The sequence below is a fragment of the Homo sapiens genome, chromosome 14 (genome assembly GCF_000001405.40).
Source record: "Homo sapiens chromosome 14, GRCh38.p14 Primary Assembly".
NCBI lineage: Eukaryota > Metazoa > Chordata > Mammalia > Primates > Hominidae > Homo > Homo sapiens.
In genome coordinates this window covers 53,872,520-53,899,791 of record NC_000014.9, presented here as the reverse complement: position 1 = coordinate 53,899,791, position 27,272 = coordinate 53,872,520, and the positions used below count along the sequence as shown (strand labels likewise).

At 39.8% G+C, this 27,272-nt stretch overlaps 1 long non-coding RNA gene across 1 annotated transcript in view, besides 1 other annotated feature; it reads left to right on the top strand.

The window, feature by feature from the left end:
* Positions 1-26,956, top strand: part of LOC107984676 (uncharacterized) — a 44,077-nt gene extending 17,121 nt beyond the window's left edge. The window contains exons 3-4 of the long non-coding RNA XR_001750978.2: positions 20,068-20,221; positions 24,887-26,956. This is a non-coding gene — a long non-coding RNA (uncharacterized LOC107984676). The remainder of the gene's footprint in view (positions 1-20,067; positions 20,222-24,886) is intronic.
* Positions 6,225-6,334: an enhancer, noted in NCBI's record as "active region_8408". NCBI's record gives its function as "activates an Ori minimal core promoter by ATAC-STARR-seq in GM12878 lymphoblastoid cells {active_cell/tissue: GM12878}" and the evidence as "EXISTENCE:reporter gene assay evidence [ECO:0000049][PMID:35858748]".
* Positions 26,957-27,272: the final 316 nt, after the last annotated feature.

Sequence of the window (27,272 nt, the reverse complement as noted above, 5' to 3'; positions counted from 1 at the left end):
TCAGGTGGTTTTTGCAGACCACGTAGGAAGAGTTGGGGAGAAGTGCTGTTTGTGAACACTGTCTGTGTGTTTTCTACCGTGTTCCTCTGGCCATGCTCCTGACTTCTCTTTGGGCTCATGGACCAGGCTTTGATCACTTGTCCAAGTGTTCTGAGCAACTACCTTACCCTTGGTCTTCGCCTTTGTTATTTCTGTCTCAGCGAAGGCCTTGCAACAGTACCAAAATATAGAGAGAGTAGGGCTGAAGATTGCACTTAGGAGAAAGTCTAGATTGGGATCATGGTGTGTGGCACACCAAGGTAGAGTGGCCAGAGGAACCACTGGAGCAAGACAGAGGAGAAGAGGGCAGTTCACAGAGGGAGATGAGCATCAAGGCCCGTGTCTGCAGGTAAGTCAAAGAGAACGTGTACCATGCGAGGAGGAGGAGGGACGATTTCCTGCAGCACCGGTGAGTGGTGGTAGAAGCAGCTAGATGGCAGGGGCAAAGGAAAGGGAGATAAAGCTCCATTGAATCGGAAAGGAAACTGCTTCCCAGTCTAGCTATGCTGCCTCAGTTTTCTGTCTCATTTTCCTCACCTGTAAAATGAAGATAATGATAGTTGTGAAGTTTAACTCTCGGCCTCCATAGTAGCTAAAGGTATTAAAACAGGGCTTGGCATACAGTAAAAACTCAAAAAACACATCTTCTTCCTCTTATTTTTCTCTTACTTTTAAATCTTGCCACACACTCTCGACTTTGCACACAAATGTAAGCAATTTATATTATCATTATTATTTTAATTGTCAGAGTCATTGACCTCGAGTGAAAATTACAACTTTCCCTGGGCCCAGACTTTCTCCCTAAAATTTCCAGATATGAATGCCTTCTATTTCTGTATTGCCTAATTAATTTTGATGTCAGCATCTAGGCCAGTCAGAAGCATCCGAAGATATGCTATGCACAGCCAAATAAAGTTGCCAGACTGCGTAGTCTTCCGTTTAAAGATATCTATACACTCAGGATTCCGAAGAGGGAGTGTCTCTGGCTGCTTGGAATCCTCTTTGCTTCTTTGCTCAGTCAGGATCTTTTTGTTTTGTTTCATAGACATCTCATTTACCTGCGTTACAACTTATTTTAGCCTATGCAGATCTTCCTGCACTTACTGGAATCTCTACCAGAGGTGAAAAGAAGAGAGAGAAAAAGCATGGTGCTTCACCAAGTTAAAGTTGCTTTGTGTGTGTGTGTGTGTGTGTGTGTGTGTGTGTGTGTGTGTGTGTGTGTAGGGGGACAGAGTCTCACTTTGTCACCCAGACTAAAGTGCAGTGGCATAATCTCGGCTCACTGCAACCTCCACCTCCCAGGTTCAAGTGATTCTCCTGCCTCAGCCTCCCAAGTAGCTGGGACTGCAGCCGTGTGCCACCACCCCCGGCTAATTTTTGTATTTTAGTAGAGATGGGGTTTCATCATGTTGGCCAGGCTGGTCTCAAACTCCTGACCTCAGGTGATCCACCTGCCTTGGCTTCACAAATGCCGGGATTACAGGTATGAGCCAATGTGCCTGGCCTGTTTTTATTATTATTATTTATAAATATAGATAGGAAGACAGAAACAGCACTGATTTCCATATTGCTTTTCATAGTTTTCACCTGCCCATGAATAACAGAACTGGTCAGGTTTGGGGAGTGATACACGATTTCCTGAAGTTTGCTTTGGTTCTATTGGAAGCTTCCTCAGGCCAGGGCTAATGGTTTCTACTTCTCTTTTACCCACAACACTAGTCCTATAGATTTGTTAACTTTATTGGTTTCTTTCTTAGGCTTAATAATGGAGATTCAACCTTTAAAAATAGTGTTACCGTTGTTAAAATTGCCACCACTGAAAAGGTCTTGCTAATCACTCACATTTCCTGGGACTCTGTTTTGGTTCCAAGGGCATTGAGTTCTTAACGTACCTTTAAACCTTAACACATTGGTTATTGTTTCCAGATACCGAGGCCATCCTGTCTTTATTGAAAATGCTGTACTACTCTACACAATTGCAAACAGTGGTACAAGAACGCTATATTGGTGGCCTATTGTTCTACCCTGGCAGATCCTGGAAGACATTTGTAACATGTTGTTTAAGTTTTAGGCTTTAAAGTGAATATATACAGGGTCAGCTGTTTAATGTTTTTTTCACTAATTAGACTAATCCCTCACAGTTTGCCTCTCCTTTGTGTTTTATGTTTATTGTGATCTATACAACACACAAAAATATATAATATCTTTACTATGGTAAAAAATGTAATGACTAATTAAGCAAGTGCGTTATGGAGTTCTTCTTGGCCAGGTCAGTTCAGCCACATGGTCCTCCCTTCTCCTCCTCATTTTGTTCTGAAGGCTCCCTGTGCCTTGAGATTGGCAATTAATGGACCTTTGTTCCCAGTGGGCCCTCTGTTCTCCTGGCCCACCTTCCTGAGTGATGTATTGGAACAACCAGTGGGGTCCAGGGGTTTTATTCTCCCATCCCCTTAGGGCCTTGTGGTCTCTGTTGAATTTCAGGCCTTGTACTTCCAGAAATCTTAGCCGGGGAACACTGGGTGGCCTGGCCTGCCTTCTTTGCTGTAAGTGCTATAGAGCCATGAACAAAAACATCTCTGGAAGAGGGGAAAAAACTGCCCCCCCACCACAACCCACCAGCTGGGCTCCATAGTGAAGTTCCACCCTAGGTTACAGGATTCCTGGAAAGATCATGTCCAGAACCAGAGCCCTGCTCTTTGTAGGACTAACTAGGTACTGATGTATCATTGCCATCTGGTTTTCCCTGGAGATGTTTACATGCAACTGTTCTATGAAATCAGTCCACCATGCAGACTCATCTTACTGAGAAAATGTGTGCAGATGATTTAACTTAATGACTTAGTTAAATTGAATGGCTTCCAGTAGCATAGTAATGTGTTTTGAGAAGTTTTGAAGGAGAGAGAGGAAAAGCTGGTTTCCCATCTCGTTCAAATCATTTTCCATTCCTCAGGGGGAGAAAGGAAAGTCTGAGAATCCAACAGAATTAATGCAGGTTACCCATTACTTCATTTTATAATGTTTGGCAAGGAAAACATGTTAAGTCAGTTAAATCTGTTTATTTGGCTCTTCCAGGCATTCCATGTGGATGGGGCCTGGGTTGGAGGGGACAGTGAAATATATTTCTGCTGAGATGCCTTCCTGGAGAGAAATAGGTCTGTTTTATAAGCAGGGCCGGCAACACCTGGATTCTGACTGGTTTACTGGGGACCCAAGGGTTTACTTGAGCATCTTGCAGATGAAGAACCTAAAAGTCTATCTCTGACCCCTCGGGCTGTGACGGAAAAGCGCTGTTTGGGGTCATGTGGGTTCAATTCCTGCTCTGCTATTTGCCAGCAGTGTGACACTGGGCAAGTCATGAAATCACTCTGTGCATCCTAAGGAGAATTCCCTACTTCAGAGAATTGTTGCAAGAATCACATGAAATAGCAGATGTGAAAGTGCTTTATAATCTGCAAGACAATATAACAATGCATTCTAAAGAATTATTCTTAACACTGGCAGTATGAAAGCATGTTTTCAGCCAGAACATGGTAGCAGAGAAGGGAGAGGATATGTAGAGTATCAGGGTTCTTTGGAAGGAAAATATCAACATCCCAGACCTGTTCTAAAATGGCCTGACTGGTGCTTGTGAAGAGATCACCGTATAGGAGGTACCTTAGAGGAGATCACCTTACTGTAGCAAGTTAGCAGGAGCTGTAGGCTGTTTGTACCACAGTGGAACCAACCGCAGTGTGTCTTAGAGGCAGAAGATGAGAGAGTCGTCTCATCTTTGGTGATATGCACTGGGTAGATGAGGATGGCAGTGCTGATGACCTGACATCTTCCCAGCACCGACGCCGGCCGGATTCTGTACTAGGGGATTGCTTGCATTATCTCATTGCTTCTCCACAACTATCAACTACACTCCAATTAATGTCTGCATCTTACAGATGATAATTCCTGGAAGGGTTAAGAAACCTGTCCTAATTTGCAGTGAGAATGTAGCAGAACAGGGATTCAAACTCTGAGATTCAGGTCTGACTTACTTAAAACCCACACCTTAACCTCTGTTAAAGGAAGACAAATAGAGCAAGGATATTTTGCCCTACCAGAGGTCCCAGCGGGAGGACATTTTCTCCTCTACAAACTTAATCAAGAATAACCCCAGAATTCCTTAGGGTCACCTGGAACAATAAAAATTGGGGCCAGGTGTGGTGCCTCACACCTATAATCCCAGCACATTGGGAGGCCAAGGCAGGAGGATCGCTTGAGGATAGGAGTTTGATACCAGCCTGGGCAACATGGCAAAACCTATCTCTACAAAAAAATTTTAAAAAATTAGCTGGTTGTGGAAGTGCATGCCTGCAGTCCTAGCTACTCAGGAGGCTGAGGCAGAAGAATTACTTGAGTCCAGGGGCTGGAGGCTGCAGGGAGCTATGATCATTCTACTGTACTCCAGCCTGGGCAACAGAGTGAGACCTGGAAAGAAAGAAAGAAAGAAAGAAAGAAAGAAAGAAAGAAAGAAAGAAAGAAAGAAAGAAAGAAAGAAAGAAAGAAAGAAAGAAAGAAAGAAAGAAAGAAAGAAAGAAAGAAAGAAAGAAAGAAAGAAAGAAAGAAAGGAAAAGAAAGAAAGAAAGAGGGAAAGAAAGAGAGGAAGGAAGGAAGGAAGGAAGGAAGAGAGGGAGGGAGAGAGGGAGGGAAGGAAGGAAGGAAGAAAGGAAGAAAGAAAGGGAGGGAGGGAGGGAGGGAGGGAAGGAAGAAAGAAAGAAAAAAGAAAGGAAGGAAGGAAGGAAGGAAAAGGAAAAATAAAAAAGGAGGAGAGAATTGTGCCATGTGGCTGTGATTATTGATATCTGTGATCAGCAGGTACATGTCTTAGAACAGTCAGTCCTCAAGAGAATCTCTGGACTTTCCTTCTGAGATTTCAGGACAAATGTTCAAGGGCAGGACTTCTTTCCTCTGCAAGGGCAGATGCTATGTTTTTTTATTTCTAAGGATTTTCTTCAGCATCTAGCTCAGTGCCTTGCACATTGTCAAAAAATATCTGGTGATGAGTAATATCAGTGGAACTAAAACCGTAACCAAAACTCCTTCCTCTACATCCTGTCCTCTCACCACTTCTAAAAAAAACCAGCTCTGATTTTATGGCTCCGAGAATTTCTATTCACAGAGTTGTGCTCTGAAAGCAACACCCTGCATTGGTTCTGCTGGGCAGGTGAAGCATCACCTGCCCCTCAGCTTTGTTAGTTTGGAAGTTTCACTCTCATCTACCTTCTGACTTGAAATGTCTATTGAATTCACTGCATATCTAGAGGAAGGAGAAGATGCAACTGGAAGGGGCTGGGGCTATTTAGCTTTTAACGCAAGACTTTTGGTTCTCTGTAATTTTTACTTGTTCTTCTCTTAGTTTTGCTTACAAGTAAAATGAACATACACTAAAGCCTTAAAACTGGTAGAGAATGCTTATCTAACAGAGTGATGTTTATTTATGCTTGTCAGACAGTTTTATTGTGCTTAAGACTCTCTCTTTTCATTTGTTTTCATTCTTTGATTTTTTTCCCCCTTGCACATACAAGTGGAAATACCCTAAATATGGCCTTTTGTAACCAACAATTGCTTTCTACTCCACATACATTTGGATCATTGTGAAGGAATCCCCCAGGAGTTTTACTGAAAAGGAAAAGACAGAATGATGCCAGGAGGTGAGGGGCTGTTTTATCTAGTGCGCAAGTGAAGGCATGCACTATCTTCAGGAAGATGTGCCTAGAATTGTTTGACTGGTGCTTGCCCACTGGTGTGTGAGAAAAACTGGGATGGGGTGTTGGTGAAGCTCCCAGGGCTAAAAAGATGGTGCATAATGCATTCCAGAAAACACATGACCTGGAAAAACTAAACTCACCAATCGCTTCTCAGTGAAAGGACTCTTACCCAAGTACTTAAGTCCTTGGTGAAGTGTGTACTTAGGAGGGACCGTCTCAGCCCCTGCCTTTCACTCCTGTTATTGGTGAGCCCCCTTTCTGATGTATAATATCCTTTCTGGGGAGTTTTGTGGGTAACTTACAGAGTGGTACAGTGGAAAGACCTTATCTGAAAGACCTGGTGGCCATATTCTTCTTGGCTTTGCTACTTTCCAGCTATTTGACCTCGCCACTTAACCTTCCTGAACTCCTGTTTTCTACTTTGCCTATTTCATAGACTGGTTGTGAACATAAACTAAGTAGTCTCTGTGAACAGATCTAGAAACTGAGAAAGTACTATGCAAATTGAAGGCACCTTTCGCACTTTAATTTTCTTTTTAATTTTAGAAACAGCAGGTTATTGCTGGTAAGTGGAAGATGGTATGGAAGAAAAAGTCATTATTTTGTTCCAATAATGTTTCTGATAAAACCATATAAACTGGAGTTCTTTTTGTATGAACCATTTTTGATTACCTAGGATTCATTAGTTGACAAAAGAGACATATCATATGAGGTTGATGCAACAGTTTACAATTAAACAAATTAGAAGCCTATTTTGTAACCACATTTTTGTAGCAAGTATTATTTGTATACTTTTTCTTTTGTTGAAGAGACAGGGTCTTGCTCTGTTGCCTAGGGTAGAGTGCGGTGGCATGATCATAGCTCATAGCTGACTGTAGCCTTGAACTCTTGGGCTCAAGAGACCCTCCTGGAATACTTTTTAAATGGGTGTTTAAGGTGATTGAAAAGCTGAATTATGGTTGCTTTACACTGCTTAGGTAACATTTATACAATTATTCTATTTACACAGAATTACCAATGTATAATAATTCAATTACTATAGTTAATTTTACTTAATCAGAATTATGCAACTTATTTTACTTATTCAGATTCTTTCTTCATTTGGTATAGGAATTTTTTTTTCTAACTCATGATATTTGAGACTTCTTTTCTTGGTTCACGTACTTTATAGTTACATCATTCTTTATAATTTTCAAAGCCTTTCACAGACATTACTTAATTTGATGCTTGCATGATATAAAATTTCTGTGTGTTTCCTCTCAAAGTAATAAGGGAGGTGAGACACTGGTGACTGTAACAGTCCTCTGAAACCAAGCGCTAAGTTTACTGTAAGGATGTTAAGTCAGATCCTCCTTATTAGATGTTCTCATAGCACTGCCTCCCTTTCCTTGATGCTCTTGCCACAGTTGTATTGTACATTTACTTCTGTGATTATTTGACTAATGTCTTTCCCTTTCACTAAATGTTAAGCTCCATGAAGGCAGGGACCAGTCTGTGTTTGGAGCACCTTTCTTAGGTGTTTGGACACCTTTGTATCTCCGGCTCTTGTATCTTGTTGTATCTCCCTCCATTCTTTACATAGTGCCTGGCACTTAGTAGGAGGTCAGTGAGGAATTGTCAAATGAATGAATGAGACCTGGACATTGCTTGATACACTACACAGGTTTTACCTTTTTTTTGGCAGGGGTGGGGGGGTGGAGGTGGGGTGGGACAGAGTCTTGCTCTGTCACCAGGCTGGAGTGCAGTGGCACAATCTCGGCTCACTGAAACCTCCACCTCCCGGGTTCAAATGATTCTGTCTTAGCCTCCCGAGTAGCTGGGATTACCGACATGCACCACCACGCCTGGCTAAGTTTTTTTTGTATTTCTAGTAGAGATGGGGTTTCGCCACATTGGCCAGGCTGGTCTCTAACTTCTGGCCTCAAGTGATCCACCTGCCTTGGCCTCCCAAAGTGCTGGGATTACTGGTGTGAGCCACTGCACCCAGCCTTGGGTTTACCTTTTTCAGGTCTCCTGGGAGATGTTTTTTGTGGTCTTAGCATTGCAAACAACCATGTCTCTCCTGAGCATTTGGTTTGCTCTCACCCAGTGGACACTGTGGGCTGTGTACCTGATTATATTTTCCTGTCCTTGTTGGCTGCTATAAAGCTTTAAAACAAAGTTTGGTCGACATTTAGCAGATGTGTAGGACTTCATGGTATATATTTTGTGAACTGGCCACTTCCCATTTACAACTTATACCCCTTTCCTTATTTTCCTTTACCATCCTTTTGTTTACTATATTGCATATTTTATGTGACCTTTGCTATATTGTAAGTCCATTTGGCAGCAAGGTAGGTTATTAAAAAGTAGTACTCATATTAACTGCCCTTAATATACTGGGGGTAGTAGATAAAGGATTAGAATTTCAGGAATGCAACATTTTCATATGATAATAATTTCTTTTAAATTTGTGTTTTTTTTTCACAGTGAAGGAATGATAAGAATTGATGTTCATACTGAGATTCTCGGTTTCTAGCAAAATAAGATCCCATAATTCCATTGAAATGTGGACTTCTGATGTCTACTTAATGTTTAGAGGGTGTGTGAGAAATGAGAACGTCAGCTGAATAATGCTTTGCTAAAAAGATTTTTTGGCTTTTCTCTTGGTCATCCTTTTATTTTTTGGAAGCAAAGATAAGGTGAGGTTCATCTCTGGCCCCACACACTCAGTGTTGCTTTGTTTTTCCCTAGGTTTCGGGATGTAAAAGTGTGGAAAACTTATTTCCCACGCAGAACCCTTGGTCCAGTTTAGGCCTTCTCAGGCATTCTTTTGGCAATGCTCTCTGAACTCTGTAGCCCCTGAATTAAATCTTAAAAATAGTTCCAGCCACAACTTCCACAGAGCTCAAGCAACTAGATTTGTAGCACCAGCAGACGAAGGAGCAACCTCTTGCCTTCTCTCTCTACTTTTGAAACTTTAATGACCCCCACTGTTGGGGGCAGGGAACTTTTGTTTATAGTGAAGCACCACTTTCAGTTATACTCATGATTATGTGACTCTCAGTGTTTGCTATGTCCTCACTCTTGGCCAACACAAATATGTTATCACATTCGACCTTCCTTAGCATAAGAATAACTTTGGAAGGCCACAAGATTTTCTAATAAACAAATAATGAAGGAAATGAGAGCACCTGCAAAAGGAAGGAAAATCTCCAACTGCAGATTAGGAGATAAGACATAACAAAGCCATCCATTCCTGGGATGTAGTGGTCCCTTCCAAGAATGCAGAATGCTGTGGCCACTTGTGTGGAATGCCTGCCCTGGAATGCTGGTTCCAAAACAAGCAATCTGCACCAGCCAGCATTGTCTCAACCACCATCACTGAATGGACCCCCGGGCATTCACTAAGTGAGTCTCTGTCTGACCCCCACCCAGGAGGGAGAGGAGGAACTGACTTCAGGTACCATTAGACTTGAAATTAACCCAGTGTGGGTAACAACTGACAATTAGCCAGTTCCAACCCTTCTCCCTTCCTGCTCTCTTCTCCCAACTAAATCTAAGCAGTTCTTGACGGCAATAACTTCGCTTTTTAAAGGCCTGTTTATGAAGCCAGGACTTGGAGTTGGGAGGAGAGAGGGTCCTCCCTAGCTTCTGTTAGCCTCAGTTTCATCTTCTGAAAATAATCCACTTAGACTAGAGGATCTCCAAAGTCCCTGTAGCTTTGGTCTACTTTTTTTAAAACACAGCATTAATTCTGTTTCCCTATTTCCAAAGATGCTCAAACTTCTTTAGAAAGCCCATTTTACCATCTTTAGTTTGTATGTTCTTCTTTTACTCCTTGCAGGAATAGCAGGCTCTGGATTCAGACTACATGGGATGAAATTCTTGCATCACGAATTACTACCTATGAGATCTTAAGCCAGTTTCTTAAACTTTCTAAGCTTCAGTTTCCTCATCTGAAGAGAAAAGGAACAGCAATAATGGTTATGTATATTTCCCAGGCTTGCTGTGAAAATTACAGGAGAAAATCCATATGCAACACCTTGTGTTCTTTCCTTTTCTTCTTCCCCTTCCCTCCTCCTCTTTTTCTCTTCTCCTTCCTCCCCAACCTTCCTTGCCTCCTCTCTACTCTGCCCACCACCTCCCTTTCCCACCACTTTCCTCACTTCTTTCTCTTTCTCTCATACTCTGTTGTACAGCTTGGGTACAACAGACTCTAGAAGAGGTCAGTAGCCAGATCTTGGGTAGGAATATTTTCCCTTCCACTTCCTCTACCTCCCACCATGGCCTGTGAGACAAGCCCAGAGGCCCCATGTACACAATACAAGTACACTTTGCCAGGTTCCCCAGGTAGCAGAAGAGGACCCCAAATGAATGGAGCTGCATGGAACAGGTGAGATGCATTCTGCTTGCACTGTCTTTCAGAAAGGATACAAGGACATTCTGGGGTGAAGCAATGCCCACATTTTAATTTAGGAAGTTCCTATAAACCTTCACATTCTCAGATTCATTAGGTTCTTAGAATGGTCTCCCTTTTGGAGCTACGACCACCACCATTACTGAGGGAAAGATGGGGTGGTGGGGAGGAAGAAATTGGAGACAAAATGGGAGAGGAAGGAAAAAAAAGTTAGTATAAGTAGGTGGTTGGCATATTTTGAGCTGGTTTGTTAAGAAGGTTGTAGTTGAGTTTTAGAAAAGGGGGTTACTTTTTTTTTTTAAACACACACACACACACACACACACACACACACCACCTATTATATCCTGAAACACTGATGCTAAGAGCTGTAAAAGTAGAACTCCACCTACAGAAGAGGGAAGCACATGACCAGGATCTCAGATAGGGATGGCAATTAGCCTGCACCCCAAGCACCTGCTCCTACCAAATGGTAGTGATTGCTTAGGATACTGAATTGAGAAAAATTTGGAGGCACACCTAGAATCAGGGGAGAAAAGTGCTACAATTTCTTATCAATGTCATCGACAAGGAGTGATGGGTCTATATGGAGCATATATTTGCCAGTTCCAGATTCAGATACACCATGATGACATCCCTTTCTCAAGCAGGAAGCAAAATCACCTAAGACTGCTCCAAGTTTAATGGGGCATGCCAAAAGAGGAGGAAGATAGGAGAATTCATTTCTTGGGATGTGATGGGGGATGAAATAGGGAAGCCAGGGTGGAGAAAACAGGACTGCTGAAGTGAACAGGGGAGGAAAAAGAAATTGTTGCCTAAGGGGGTATAAAATATCCACGAACATTAACTGTTTATGAGATGAAGTCATATGAAACAGTATTTTCACAAAAGTCTCTCCTTGCACCTGTTAATGTTTAACCTCTGCTGGGGTGAAGTCCAGCTGGACATATCTGCTGAGTGTAAATGGTTTTCTGGGTTTCCCATATGCTGTTTCTGTCTTAAGCTATTGATATTTGAAAGAAAAGAAAAAAAAAACCAACTTAACCCAAGTGTATGGAAGAAGCCGTGCTGTCTTTAATTCCCTTGATGAAAAGTTCTGTCTTTTAGATAAATTTGACTGTAACAAAGGCTCTAAAAGCTCTCCCTTGCCCTGAAGATTGTTGCTTACAGAGATGATAAATTAAATCTAAGGAATAATGCAAAATTTGATCATAGCCACTCATCACAAACTCAAATTTGAATTGTCCCTATGTCTTCCTGGCACTTTAGTTCTTTGGTATAAATTAGAATGTGTTCGCAAAGGTTTTCGTTTTTGAAAAAAATAATATGTTTTTTTAATGACAGCCAATACTTTCTTTTCTTTTTTTTTAAATTATTATTATACTTTAAGTTCTAGGGTACATGTGCACAATGTGCAGGTTTGTTACGTATATATACATGTGCCATGTTGGTGTGCTGCACCCGTTAACTCATCATTTACATTACGTATATCTCCTAATGCTGTCCCTCCCCCCTCCCCCCACCGCACAACAGGCCCTGGTGTGTGATGTTCCCCACCCTGTGTCCATGTGTTCTCACTGTTCAATTCCCACCTATGAGTGAGAACATGCGGTGTTTGGTTTTCTGTCCTTGTGACAGTTTGCTCAGAATGATGGTTTCTAGCTTCATCCATGTCCCTACAAAGGACATGAACTCATCCTTTTTATGGCTGCATAGTATTCCATGGTGTATATGTGCCACATTTTCTTAATCCAGTCTATCATTGATGGACATTTGGGTTGGTTCCAAGTCTTTGCTATTGTGAATAGTGCCACAATAAACATACGTGTGCATGTGTCTTTATAGCAGCATGATTTATAATCCTTTGGGTATACGCCCAGTAATGGGATGGACAGCCAGTATTTTCTTATTAAGCTCAAACCTCCAAGTGTAATCATAGTACATTTGATGTAGATATGGTGGTTTTGTGTGTGTCTCAATTTGGCAGTTATAAATTCATCACTGTCTGAAGTAGCACAATGAGGCCAGTGTAAGGAATCCTTTGTTAAGGTTTGTTTTCTTCTTTCTGTAATGCCTCCTACATTGAACTGAACACCCGTTCCTGTTGATTTTACCTTTTTTTTTTTTTTTTTTTTTTTTTTTTTTTTGAGACAGAGTTTTGCTCTTTTTACCCAGGCTGGAGTGCAATGGCACAATCTCGGCTCACAGCAACCTCCGCCTCCTGGGTTCAAGCGATTCTCCTGCCTCAGCCTCCCGAGTAGCTGGGATTACAGGCATTCACCACCACGCCCAGCTAATTTTGTGTTTTTAGTAGAGAAGGGGTTTCTCTATGTTGGTCAGGCTGGTCTCGAGCTCCTGACCTCAGGTGACCTGTGGCCTCCCAAAGTGCTGCGATTACAGGCATGACTCAGGGAGGCCGGCTGATTTTACCTTCTAATGTCTTTTCTGTGCTTAGTCCCTAGCTTCTAATAGATCCCTCTTCTCTGTACTTATCCAATCCCTCCTTACTTTTTAAGTCTATTTGCCAAACTCCTGCCATAATAATCTTGTTCCTCTTTTGTTTAAAACTGTCCAGCAGTTTTCATCACCTAGAGGATAAAGTCCATTCAAGACTTTCCATGCTTAGTCTACCTCCCTAGACCCATCTTTTCCCTCCCCATGCCCTGTAGTCTAAGCTCTTGGCACACCAGCTCTCTTAGAGTGTCTCTTCATTCTCTCGTGATTATCACCTCCATGTTTCTCTGCATACTGTTTCCTCTCCCCTTCATCTTTTTGTACACCAGATAAACTCTTACGCTTTGAGACCCAGCCCAAGCATTATCTCTATCGCTAAGCCATTATTTCCACTTTCATCTCGTTTTTGCTTCTGTGCTAGCTTGGGTGGGATCTACAGACTATTTTCTAGTACAACCAGAAAGGTTGTGAAATAATATAATATTTTCACAGGCCCTGGAGTGCCAGCCTCAGGGACTTCCCTCCAGAACCTCCCAATGATTCAGCAATTAAAGGGTTATCACCTGCAATAGCAGGAGGCTTCCTAAACCCTTTTTGAGCACTTTGGCCACTGTCCATTTAGGTTCAATGGTTAATATTTTCAGTTTTCCCCTTGTTTACATTATGTTCCCACTCTTTGCAAGATTATCTGTTGCATTTCTCACTCTTCTGTCTCTCCTAAATTGTAGCTTCTCTGAAGGCAAGGATACGGTCTTTCTTTATCAACTCAGAATTCCCAGCACCCAGCCCAGAACCTGAAATAAAGTAGATGCTTAATAAATGTTGAATGAGAATGAGACAGTCTCTTGGGCTGGGGACAGGACACCAAAGAAATGATGCTGAAGAGATGATACTGACTTCTGATTGGCTCTGCACCTCTCCATACTGGTAGCAGTGGTTCTCAGTGGGGTGATTTGGTCCCACCAGGGCACATTTGGCAATGTCTAGAGACAATTTTGTTTGTCACAGTGAGGGGGTGGAGTGGGATGAGGGTTGAGGATCGAGGTGATAATGACACCTGAGGGGTAGGGGACAGCAATGCTGCTAAACACGTTACAATGCGTAGGACAGCCCCTAGAGCAGAGAATGATCTAGTCCAAAATGCCTTACAACCTTGGCAGAAGTCTCCTTTCCTCTGTACTCCCCGACATGGGGGTCCCATCCTCTTCTTGGTCAATGCCTTTTTCTTTCCACTTTTCCCCATTCCATGGTTCTAGTGAGTGTGCACACGGGAACAGAAGAAGAGTAATTCCTTTATTTTTGTCTCTCCACTTTTCCGTTCCTTTGCTGCCTTGGGGAGTCCCCCTATACCTGATTTCTGCCAGTTTCCTGACAAAGTTGAGGTTTCTCTATTTATATCCCTAAAAGTGAAGCTTTTCAAATATGTAAGATCTGAGGTTCACTGGCACAATATGGCATACTTAAGACAGGATTGAGGTCCGAGAGGGAGTCGTGAAAGAAAAAGAGGACACAGAGTCTGGATATTTGACTGTGTTTAAAAGACATCAAGGCACCCAGTGGAACATGGCAAAAAGGAGCTGCCAGTCAGTTTTGTTTATGTGGAACAAGCCAATTGTTTCCTCCCATGTGAGTGGCTGGTTTTGTTTTATCTTTATGTAGCTGCTATTCCTCCTTTTCCCCCACAGACCAACTAGAAGTCATTCTTTTTGTGATCTTTGTTTTTTTTTTCTTCCAATGAACTCTTATTTTGCTGCATAGTATCAAAATATTTTCTTCAAAGACAATTTCCTTTAAAAATAAACTGTTATCAGAGAGAAGCTATGTTCACAGCTGGTAAAGGCATGATTAAATAATCACCGTATGGGGAATTGAAAAGCAATTTCATAATATAGCTTTAGATTCCAAAGAGAAAATCTAAGGAAACATTCCAGTTAGTTAAGAAAACTTTTAATCAAATGAAGTGTTTGAGCTCTACTTGGTTTTTGTGTGTTTTTTTTTATTGGCAACTTTCTGTATGTGCATGTTTTACTTGGTGAGAGTTTGTAAGAGGTTATCTTAATACAGTAATGGACTTCCTGAGAGTTTGGTTAACCTTCTAATTACATATAAAATAGCCTTCCAAATAGTTACAATAAATGTTTTAGACATAAATTTGACATGAGTCTGTATCTTTACTGCTAGTCTCTACTATAACTCTTTTTTTTGAAAAAAAAATACCATTAATCTAAGAAGAAACAGAGTATCTAAAGCAGAAACTCCTATATTGTTTATGTTCATAGAGTGACATAAACTCTTAGACTCTTCATGAGTAGTGACATTATGGAGAAGGAAACCCTACTTTTGAATAGAAAAAAACTGGAGCTCTGCCAAAGCCCAGCATGTAATTCCAGGAATCATCAAATCTCTCTGGGACTTAGTTTATCTCATCTATAGACTAGGTGCAACATGATCACTCTTCAGGTTTGTCCTACAACTAGAGCTTACCAGTGCAAAAGCCTTACCACAGTACATGCCAGGTTGTCAACAATCGGTGATTCAATAAACAATAGCTGTGATCAATACCTTGATTGTATAGGCAATTCAGACAACACTAGCTTTTTATGTAAAAGTTTCCTCTTTGAAACTAATAAAATATCAGAGTTACCAAAGAGATATTTGTAAAATACTTATTGGAATATCTAAGGCCCCAGATCAAAATATTCTAAGCTGGACAATAATTTTATGCCTATGCTTTGGGTCCAGTATGCACTGATTTTAGACCAGAATTCTTTGATTTTTTTTTTGCATTGTTGGGTATGGAAATCCTGTACTAATACCAGACATTAAAACAATTTACACAGCTGTAATTGTGAGACAATGTAAATTCCATTAGAAAATTGTATTTGAATGATTATAAATGTTATTCTATAATCGACCTAAGATTGTTAAATCATAAACTTAACTATGAAATTTAACGCTATTTAAATACATTTAAAATAATATAAAATGTACCTTTTAAGCTTTTCAAATTTATGTATTTATTATTATTATTAATATTTTAGTGACTGGGTCTCATTCTGTTGCTCACGCTAGAGTACAATGCTACAATCATAGCTCATTGCAGTCTTGAACTCCTCGGTTTAAACGATACTCCTTCCTCAGCCTCTGGAGTAGCTAGGACTACAGGCATGTGCTGCCACGCCTGACTAATGAAAAAAAAATCTGTAGAGATGGGGTCTTGCTATGTTGCCCAGGCTGTTCTCCAACTCCTAGTTTCAAATGATCCTCCTACATTGCCCAAAGTGCTGGGATTACAGATGTGAGCCACTACACCTGGCCTCAAGTTGATTTAATTGTGTAAGATGAAAAATAATTGAAGTACTCTGTTTCATAAAGCTATATAGAATCTTGAAAAACAATGACTTGGAAAGATTTTTCCAAATTTTGTGAAATGACTTTTTATTGTTCACATGCAGCTCAGAATATTTTAATATTTGGGTATACAGTAAAATAATCAAAATTATACATTCTAAAAACATATTTTGAACTTCTAGAACAGAATTAACATGCTTTAGAACTGTGTTCAAGTGACTCATTCAGTAAGCCATTAAATCAGTTGACATAATACAGTATTTGAAATACCTTCCCAAAGCATATTTATCTATATTTTATTTCCTGTGAAAATTTGAAATTTAAGTACTTGTCATTTTGACATAAGCATATGTCATTTTTGTATTTATCTTAAAAAATTGTATTTAACATTTTGTAAAGACTTCCATTAGTATTAACCCAATAGAGCAAAATAATCAGAGAATGGAATTTTAGTTAAACTCTTTTTTTTTTACCTTTTATAGGAGTGCTATATCACACCTGTTTCTGAGCTTTAGGTTGGAGGTACTTCAATGAAAAAAATAACCTTGTATCCGCACACAACCTTATATGCACATAGGATTTTAAAACATGAGATGAGTTCCATTATTCAGCAAATGGCATTCTCCGATTCTAAAAAATGGAAATAAAATCAGAATCAGTGACATGCAGATAAAGGGAATCAACCAAGTCTTCAAACTTATTGCTTTGTATTTTTGTCTTATGAACTTTGAATTGAACTTCTGCACAGGATCTGATCTGGATGAAATGTCATATATCTGAGACTGATCCTTATCTCCTAAACGTTTCCTTTGTTTCTTTGATTCTTTGGGCTTTACCCTCTTATTTTATTGTGAGTGGCCCAGAGCTTTGATCTTGCAATAAGCTCTGGCTCGCAACACAAACCTTTGCTTTGCTATGACACACAGAAGGACGTGGGTATACTCAGAAAATCTAAATAGACAAGAGGTTACTTCTTCTGTGGTTAGGGCTAAAGGCAAATGGGGTAACTTCAGAATTTATTGTCTCCCATTACATTATGGGAAACTAAAAATTCACACGGGTATTTTAACATTAAGAAAGCACACCTGTGAGAACAAGTTTGATGTACAGTATCTATCTGTTTCTCATTTCAGTTACAATAGTTTCTTGAGTTTTAAGAATTAAAACTTCCCCTTTTGTATTGTTGCAGACATAAAATATTTAGAACCATCTTTCAGATTTCAAATTCCTTTCTGGTTAAAAAAATTATATTAAGATAGTTTTGAAGTTGTACAGTAAATAAAAATTGATTAATATACTGAGCACAAAGTATATCACACAAAGGTGCTTTTTAGCTGAAATATCAATTAGAAATGCACAATATATAATAAAATAGGAGTTATAAGTGTTGTGTTTGCAATTAATATTTCATATGTTCTATTTTAAATTTTTCTTACATTAAGAAAAAAAGATGCATACAATTTTCTGAACCACATAGTTCATTGTATCTACAATATCAGACAATGTGTAAAATAATCATCTACCAGAGGAACGTATTTAAGCCAGCAGACACCCTGTGCATGTTACATGTGTACAATGTACCTCTAAAATTACGAGTGTCATAAATAGAGTGTGTTGACACTCAGATGACTCTAAAGATGCTTGAGGAGAACTTCAAAGGGTTTCTTTCTTCAGTAACGTCTACTAATAAGTTAATTATAAACATATAAGTAATGGTTTTTAAAGTAATTTTCTTATTGTGTATGTCTTTGTTTAAGAAGAAAATGTTGAGCAGCAAGCCGGTCCCAGCCATGTGACCATATTAGTGGCGAGTTTATCATCTTGAAATGGACACCAACACTTTTATGTCCCTCAAACTAAAAGCAGCTAAGAAATTGAATTCATATGCTTAATAAATGAGTAATTAGAATGGGAAAATTTTATTCGCCAGTGTCAGACATTTCCCTCCTTCTACTACCAGTTTTCATTAAGTTTGAGAAAGTACAGCCGAAAGAGTCAGTTCAGATATACACTGGGAAACAACTCAAAACTGCTTTTCATTTTGAGTATTAGAGACTTTTGTTATCTTTATTTATAGTTTTACGTACGTGCTCATTTTTTTTAAACTGGAACTCATCTGCTAGCTACTAAACAATCACTGAACTTTGTCCAGTGGGTTCATAACCTGAATTCAAGTTGTAGGTAATGTTTGTAATTCTAAAAATGCCAACATTTGTCATTGTGAATTATGTTTCCTTTAGGAAATTCCTTTACTAAAGAGAGGCAGTCATTTTTGACACTAATCAGATGCCTCTGTGCTGACCCTCTTGCTGAATGAGGCCAGGCTTTCTAGGTTATTAGTATTTAAAAAGAAATAACCACCCAATGTAGCATTTCAGTAAATAATGACCTACAAGACCTATTAGGCATATTCCACAATTTTTCCCACCCGTAGCAATGATTAACTCAGAAAACATTACAGAGCTTTTCTGGTGTCAGCTGAGCAGGGGCTTGTGGTTCTTCATTCACATTTTTCACTTAATCCCATGGCTTTGAATTCTTTCCCTTGTAAGTTCCTATATATAAAGATTAGAAACTGCTTCTGGCTATGCAGAATTACATGCTTTTAGATGAAATTCAATCCATTGTAAAAAATTCTGTTCAGAGCAACACTATTTATTTCTTGTTGGATTTGGATGACACAGAGAAGAACTGGGAACAGAAATTATGTTACCCAATTTTAATAAGCTGTAGCAATAATTTTGAGAAACACTAGAAAAATTAAACACTGGTGAGTTTATTTAAGCCTTTTAAGGGAAAAAAAAAAGGAAATACCAGAAGATAATTAAAAGTGCAGAGCTAACTTTTCCTCTGGAATGTCTTTGGCTTGCCTTCCTTTTATATAGATTATGTCATAGTGGAGGTTGGGGATTGAAAAATAATTTTTGGTATTTAAGGAAGTGATAGGTTTTTGTGATTCTTAATACTCATCTTTGCGTAAAACAGGTTGAAATAAATCTTTAACAGTGAAGAAAGAAAAATGTTTGGATCTCATGAGCTGTTGGAAATTTTCTTATTGCCTCTTTTCTAAATATAATAGGTTAAAACGTGGAGAATTTCTGAAAAGTGATTACTTTTTCCCAAATAGTTGATCTGACCACATATAGACTAGAGAGGGGACTCCTCTCTGAGTTTTGAGATGGGACTCTAGATATTTGGCTGCAGAAGCCTAAAGAAGCAAAAACAATGGGGCTTGGGATGGGGAGGTGGGGTGTCTACAAGTCAGTTACGGAGGAAAATGCCGAACAAATATTTCGCTGGTTCATATAGCAGGATTAACATTTTTGTTCCTCGTGGAGCACAGGCATAAATCCTTAGAGAATCTCAGCAAAATCTGTTGAAGGGTCACTTGAACTTAAAGGTAACAAATTCTTGGGGTCTTTGAGTTATATATTTTTACATACTTGTGCCCTTTTCAACTAACAGAAAGGGCAAAATACCCACAGAGCCCTCCTTTATTGTTCTCTGTGCCCTCCTCTGCCTTTCACGTCTTATTTTCCTCCCAGATGTGTTTAGCAGATTCGTGTTTTGGTTTGTGTAAATGAGCCACATCTCAAAGTCGTCATGACCCCCCAACTTCTGAGTCTACTCTTAATGGCTAACCCTTACTTCCTCACTTCCCAATCTGCCCCCTTAAAACATTTGCAGCTCCACTGTGTTTAACATTAGCATTTGATGGTTCTCAGGATTCATTCAAAGATGGGAAATGAGTTTTTTTGTTTTTTTTTTAATTGACTTGGCTGGAAGGTGCTCATATAGAAATGATGCTGGGAACAGCAAATGAGCAGACATCCTAGGGAAGTGAGGTAATCGCACTAGGCAGAGGGTGGTTCCGGAAGGTCCCACTCGGGGTGGGCTTCAGCGTTACACAGACTGACTCTCCCAGTCCTTAACTGAGTGCCTGATAAGAGAAAGGGCTTTGTAAATACGTAACCCCTTTCCCTATGTGCCCCTCTCATCCCCACTAAGTATTATTGACTGACTCTGGTCCCGAAAGACTTTTTTTTTTTTTGGAACTAATTTGATTTTTTTTTTTTTTTTTCCAAGAGCATGCCTTCGTTGAGCTGAGACCCAGGCTTCTCTGACAAACTCTGTTGAGGAAACTGGAAATGATCTACTAAAGAATATAGATCGCTGAGTCTGATGTTGTACGAAACTCATAATACCTGACTGGGGAAAAAAAAAAACCAATGTAGGAAAAGTGAGTGTCACCAGAAAGAACACAGAATGGTGAGCCCTGAGAAGGCAGGTCTGTGACTGTTCCGTGCACCACAACATCCCGAGGGTGGTGGGTGCTTGGGCGTGCTTACTGAATGAATTCTCTTGCAAGATACCGTTGCCAAGTCTTCAACTTGTTCCTTTCCAATGTCATTTGTATTAAGCCTGAAATTTGCTTTGAAATCACAGGAAGAAAGAATCTATATAAACTAAATGGCCATTGTTTTCATTAATATTGTTATGTCACACCCAATCCCTAATCCCTCCCAGACAACAATTGAACCAAAGCAATATCAGTCACGTGATGCCTGAGGTCAAGTGAGTTCACCTCCCTGCCCGTAGCCCAGCATCATGTAAACCACTAAAATAAAGGCAAAGACATCTAGTATTTCTCTGGAGGCACACACTTAATAAAAACACAACTGAGGTGAGGAGGCTCAGAGAGAACATTGCTCAATTCCTAAATAGGAGTAAGTTACACTCAGACACAGACCCAGTCTCCTCCAAATTTCTTTTTTATTTTTTTGAATGAAGTTAGGAGAAAAAGGATTTTGGGCTTGCAGTTTGCTGTGGAGAGCGAGAGTCTGGCCTCACGTGCACAAGATGATTTCTTTTCTTTTTCTTTCTTTCTTTCTTTCTTTCTTTCTTCTTCTTCTTTTTTCTTTTTTTAATAAAGTAAGCACATTTAATGGAAATACATTTAATAGAAGATAAGGGTAGATTTGGAAACTTAAAATTCTTGCTAACTCTTAACCACACCTGGGTTAGTAGCATCTGGACTGCCATTACAGCCTTCTAACCAGCATTTCCACATCCTTTCTCATGCCTTCCATTTACACCCAACTCCATATATTCTCCACAGCATTCAGAATAGTGTTTTAAAAATAAAAATTTTTATTTATTTATTTATTTTTAATTATACTTTAAGTTCTGGGATACATGTGCAGAATGGGCAGGTTTGTTACATAGGTACACACGTGCCATGGTGGTTTGCTGCACCCATCAACCCGTCATCTACATTAGGTATTTATCCTAATGCTATCCCTCCCCTAGCCCCCCACCCCACAACAGGCCCCAGTGTGTGATGTTCCCCACCCTGTGTCCATGTGTTCTCATTGTTCAACTCCCACTTATGAGTGAGAACATGTGGTGTTTGGTTTTCTGTTCCTGTGCTAATTTGCTGAGAATGATGGTTTCCAGCTTCATCTATGTCCCTGCAAAGGACATGAACTCATCCTTTTTTATGGCTGCATAGTATTCCATGGTGTATATGTGCCACATTTTCTTTATCCAGTCTATCACTGATGGGCATTTGGGTTGGTTCCAAGTCTTTGCTATTGTGAACAGTGACACAATAAACATACGTGTGCATGTGTCTTTATAGCAGAATGATTTATAATCCTTTGGGTATATACCCAGTAATGGGATTGCTGGGTCAAATGGTATTTCTAGTTCTAGATCTTTGAGGAATGGCCACACTGTCTTCCACAACGGTGGAACTAATTTACACTCCCACCAACAGTGTAAAAGCATTCCTATTTCTCCACATCCTCTCCAGCATCTGTTGTTTCCTGACTTTTTAATGATCATCATTCTAACTGGCGTGAGATGGTAACTCATTGTGGTTTTGATTTGCATTTCTCTAATGACCAGTGATGACGAGCTTTTTTTCATATGTTTGTTGGCTTCATTAAGGTCTTCTTTTGAGAAGCATCTGTTCATATCCTTCTTCCACTTTTTTATGGGGCTGTTTGGTTTCTTCCTTGTAAATTTGTTTAAATTCTTTGTAGATTCTGGATATTAGCTCTTTGTCAGATAGATAGATTGCAAAATTTTTCTCCCATTCTGTAGGTTGCCTGTTCACTCTGATGATAGTTTCTTTTGCTGTGCAGAAGATCTTTAGTTTAATTAGATCCCAATTGTCAATTTTGGCTTTTGTTGCCATTGCTTTTAGTTTTGTAGTCATGAAGTCTTTACTCATGCCTATGTCCTGAATGGTATTGCCTAGGTTTTCTTCTAGGGTTTTTATGGTTTTAGGTCTTACATTTAAGTCTTTAATCCATCTTGAGTTAATTTTTGTATAAGGTGTAAGGAAGGGGTCCAGTTTCAGTTTTCGGTATATGGCTAGCCAGTTTTCCTAACACCATTTATTAAATAGGGAATCCTTTCCCCATTGCTTGTTTTTGTCAGGTTTGTCAAAGATCAGATGGTTGTAGATGTGTGGTGTTATTTCTGAGGCTTCTGTTCTGTTCCATTGGTCTGTATATCTGTTTTGGTGCCAGTACCATGCTCTTTTGGTTACTGTAGCCTTGTAGTATAGTTTGAAGTCAGGTAGTGTGATGCCTCCAGCTTTGTTCTTTTTGCTTAGGATTGTCTTGGCTATATGGGCTCTTTTTTGGTTCCATATGAAATTACAGCAGTTTTTTTTCTAATTCTGTGAAGAAAGTCAATGGTAGCTTGATGGGGATAGCATTGTACCTATAAATTACTTCGGGCAGTATGGCCATTTTCATGATATTGATTCTTCCTATCCATGAGCGTGGAATATTTTTCCATTTGTTTGTGTCCTCTCTTATTTCCTTGAGTGGTGGTTTGTAGTTCTCCTATCTGTCTCATCGGAAATGCTGAAACTCAGACACAGCACCAGCTTCTAGGTGAGTTTATACTGAATTTTGGTAATCTTGGGGCAAGTGAGAGACCATAAATTTTGAGCCTCATAAAAGTAGACTAGCATCGATGAAACCTCTATGTGCTTGTATTTCGGACTTTACAGGGAGAAAAGGAAGTGCTCTTATATGTCCCCACATATTGACAAGAAGTTTATTTCTCACTGTAATATGCCACTAGGTCTTCATGTTTTTCACTCATACGTAGGACAGGACCCATCGATTATGGGTCAGGCAGTGGCCAGACAGACATGATTCGTATTTCCTGGAGTTCCTATGTAAGCATTGAAACAGTTATCAATTAGCAAATAAGAACAATTGAAATTCTATCTTCAGAAGCTAAAAAACACTTAACAATAATAACAAGGAGGAGGAGGAAAAAGAAAACAAAAGGAGAAAGACAAAAGGTTTCAAGAAAATAAAACATAAATTATAAACCAAGAACAAACCAAAAAGAAACCCAGGGACTGTGACCCTCAGCAACAGAAGGTCAGTCCAGGTCCTCGAATTCAAAGTGCCATCTTCAGACACCCTATCACATAGGTTTTCTTTAATGGACAGGGTACAGGGGGAAGATCAGGAGAGCCAAAGCTTGAGTCAGACTGAAGATGTTTGCTATTCTTCGGGGAGTTTCCTTCCAACACAGACACCAGCCAAGGTGACTGAGAATTGCAGTAGTCACAGACAAAGCCCAGAAAGGAACTCCTCCACGTTTTGCAAGGGGAGGTTGAGACTATGTGCTCAGTGCCCCTTCCCTTGATGAGATTGCTACCCTGGTGACAGCAAGACTACTAAGCCTACCTACACAGTAACCAGGGCCAGTGGAAGACTTCCTGCTTTCCAGGCTTTTCCACTCCATGCCCAGCAGAAGAGAGGGCAGAGGCCACTCATGATGAAAGAAGGTCCTTTCCTGCTCATGCCTTGTTCTTCTAAATGCTTGTCCCTTTGAGAAAGGACCACTCATATCTAGTGCAGTACTTGGGACATAGCTAGCAATGAGAAAAAGTATGCGGCATAAATGAATAAAAGTATTGTCCAAGTAGTAAGTCAAACGCCTTCCAGGTCAGGCAGAAAATACAGGCAAGTAGAGTGGCCAGTGTGGTGAGTGGTGTACAAGTTGGGGGCTAAGGAGCAGTGTGGGCCCCCTTTCAAGGGGCAGCAGAAACTTAGTTCCAAGGGAGTATCACCAGGAGGAGAACATTGGTCCAGTATTGCTCAATCTTCCTATTTTGTAAGAGGAGCCAGAAATCTAGACTTTTGTGTGAAATCTCATTACCAAAAAATGTCATTTAAAAATTTTATGTTGCTATTGCTATTTTTAAAACACTGTGAGGACCAGACAAACATATCTGTGGTCCAGATGTGGCCCCAGTCTGCTAGTTTACAGCTCTAGCATAGCTGAAAACAACAGAGGCTGTATTGGGGGAAACACCTCAACAAAAAAAATGATTGTGGGAAAGTTATTTTCAGTACATATTCATGAATATTCATGAATTCTTTTGGTTTATATCACTTTGTGACTAGGCTAGATGTTGAGAGATGCAAGGCAAAGTCATGAGGTTCTCTGTACAGAGGGTCTCGCTTGGCCTTCTGTAGCCTTGTCTGAGCAGGTACATGAGTCCTTTCGTTAGCTGCAGCATGCTAGAAATCTCCTTGGGGTGACTGTTTGTGTTTAATTTATCTGAATGAATGAAGCAAGTGTAAAATACTTTTATGTGGGTCTTTCTGTCCAGTGATCAACATGGGGACCAACTGGGCCATGCTCTGAGAATGATCCTAACAGGCAGCAGTCCCTGACTTCTGGATTTGGCTTGCTCACATTGGGCATAAATAGATTTAATTATAACTCATGGAGGGGTGAAGAACAGAGGCCTGATATCATTCTGGGAAATAAGAAAAAATGGGCCTTGCATCCCAGCCAGTATAGAGCAAATTTTCAGGGTGTGACCTGCAGAGAACATCTGTGACCTTCTTTATTTCAGAAGTTCCAGGAGGAGGCTATGGCTCTGGCTGCCACCACCGGTTGAGCTGGTCAGCAGGAAGTTTGACGTGCCAGAAAAACAAGGGAGGGAACAAGAAAGGCATTTTTCCAACTTATCCAGATGCCTCGGAGCCTAGAGTTGATTGGCTGAAGAGAACTGATTTGAGTGAGTCTATCTTTACTGGTCTATATTAGATATGGTAGGCTACATGATGCTATAACAAACAAACCCCCAAATCTCAGTGGCTTACCATGGTAAAAGTTTATTCTTCTGCTTACACAAAGTCCATTGCGTGCTCAGAAGGTAACTTCTGTGGGACTCTCCTTCAATTCCATAGATTCTGGGATCCAGCTCCTTCTCTCAAGGGCCTTGGCTCTTCCCTGGGCTTTCTCTGCGGTCCCTCTGGTGGGATAAACAAAGAGGGAGGATTAATTGGCATGTTTTGGAGCCAGGCCTAGGAGTGGCAATCTTTGCTTCTGCCACATTTTGTTGTCCAGAACTTAGTCACATGGGAAGCTGTTTACCCTGGAGAAGGAAACAATCTGTGTGAACATACAGCCATCCCGATACACCACCTATTGACTGTCTGAGCAGAGAAGGGAGAATTATGTCAACATGTTCCTCTCTCCCTCCCTCCCTTTCTCCCTCTCTCTCCCTTAATTTTTAATTTCAAATTTAATTTTAATTACTTTCTTCTCCCTTAATTTTTTTTTTCTGTCATGCTGATTACAAAAGGCCAACCACAAAAACAGTGAGGCCAACTGATAATAAGCTGGTCACCTGGCTTTTCCTGAGGTTGGTCTTCACATATCAGGGAAGAAGCATGAAGGTCTCATGCATCTTGGAGCACAAGAGCAAATTTGTCTCTAATTAGCCTATTGCTAATTTGTCACTTCTAGTGATGGAGCTGTTATCAAAGAACTCTCATCCTTCTCCTTAGTAAGTCTAAACTCCTAAGAGCACATAGACTGATATAAGATGCCTGCAAACCAGTCCAATTAAATATCCACATAGGTTCCCTTACTTGATTTCTTCCATTTCCACGACTGAAACAAATAATTTAGTTTGCTAATTCTTTGCATTTTCAAAGTAGCTTCAATCAGAGGACCTAATGGTAGTTTACAAATAGTTGAGTCATTACAGTCATTCTAATGAGTTTTTGAAGTAGCTGAGCCAAACATCAAATTTCTTTAGCTTATAGGGGAGACACTGAATCACAGAAGAGTTAAGAAATTTGTTCACATTCACTGTCACAAATAATTATTATTGCCAGAAGTTCCTAGGACTTTTAATCATAATTTCACAATCTTATCAGCTATAAGCTAATAGTTGATGAGACCAAATCAGAATTTGCATTTAACCCTCTTACATTACTTCTGAAAAAATTAAAGTATATTTATGTTTCATGTATTTTAAAATATGCATTTTTGAGTCACTACCACTAATATTAAAGGTCCTTTGTCCTAATTCAGAAACTATTGGAACATATATTTAAAGAGATTACTCTATCCAAGACAAGGTTTAGAAGTTACTAGGTTATGTTAGATGTCCAAGGAAGTGGGACCTCCCAGTTTGTGAATCTGCTTCGTGGGGAGTGTGTGTTCCTATGAAACAAGCCTAAACAATATGCCTGACCTATGAATGCAGTTAACAGAGTATCAGTGCGAGGTGGTGTTCTTAACACGAACAGCTTATATGGGCAGGCAATGATATACTAGCCAAGTAGGTGAAAAATGACTATTTAATGCACCCTATATAGAATTGTTATGTAATAAAGATAGACTGTCAAGTGGGCTTAAAGTGACATTTCGTGGGAGGGTTTATTGGCCAGATGCAGTGAATCTGAGATCAATTAATTTTGCTTTGAAGTTTGTTCTTGATCCAGATCTTCAATAAGAAGGTAGTTTCCAAGTCACTGGTCTGTGAACACTGCTTGTGATTAATTACCCTTTTATAATCGTAGGAATTCTGTTCTTTGCTATATTTTGAATAACTCAGACTCCATGGGGAGTTGTATTTTGGCTGGTATATTTGGAACTGCTAATAAACACCTACTTCCTGTTTTTCTTACTACTGTGTGTAGCAAATTGTAAAATTACTTGTATTGCCATCTCTGTTTCTTGTGTGTTTAACCAGCTCTGATTTATGTTGTGGGATAATCTGCATCAAAGAGTCTTTGCCAAAAAATTTCTCATAGCTTCAAAATGTAAGATACTGTATCTTACTATTGCAGCATAAACTTGAATAATGATAGAGAAAATATTCCATTTCATCAGCACAGAAAAATTAGAATTTTAGTATCTTGAGCCACAAATAACTCTTGGAAAGAAGTTTAGTGTATTTTTATTTTTTTACATACATTTCCAAGATCATTAATTTTATTCTT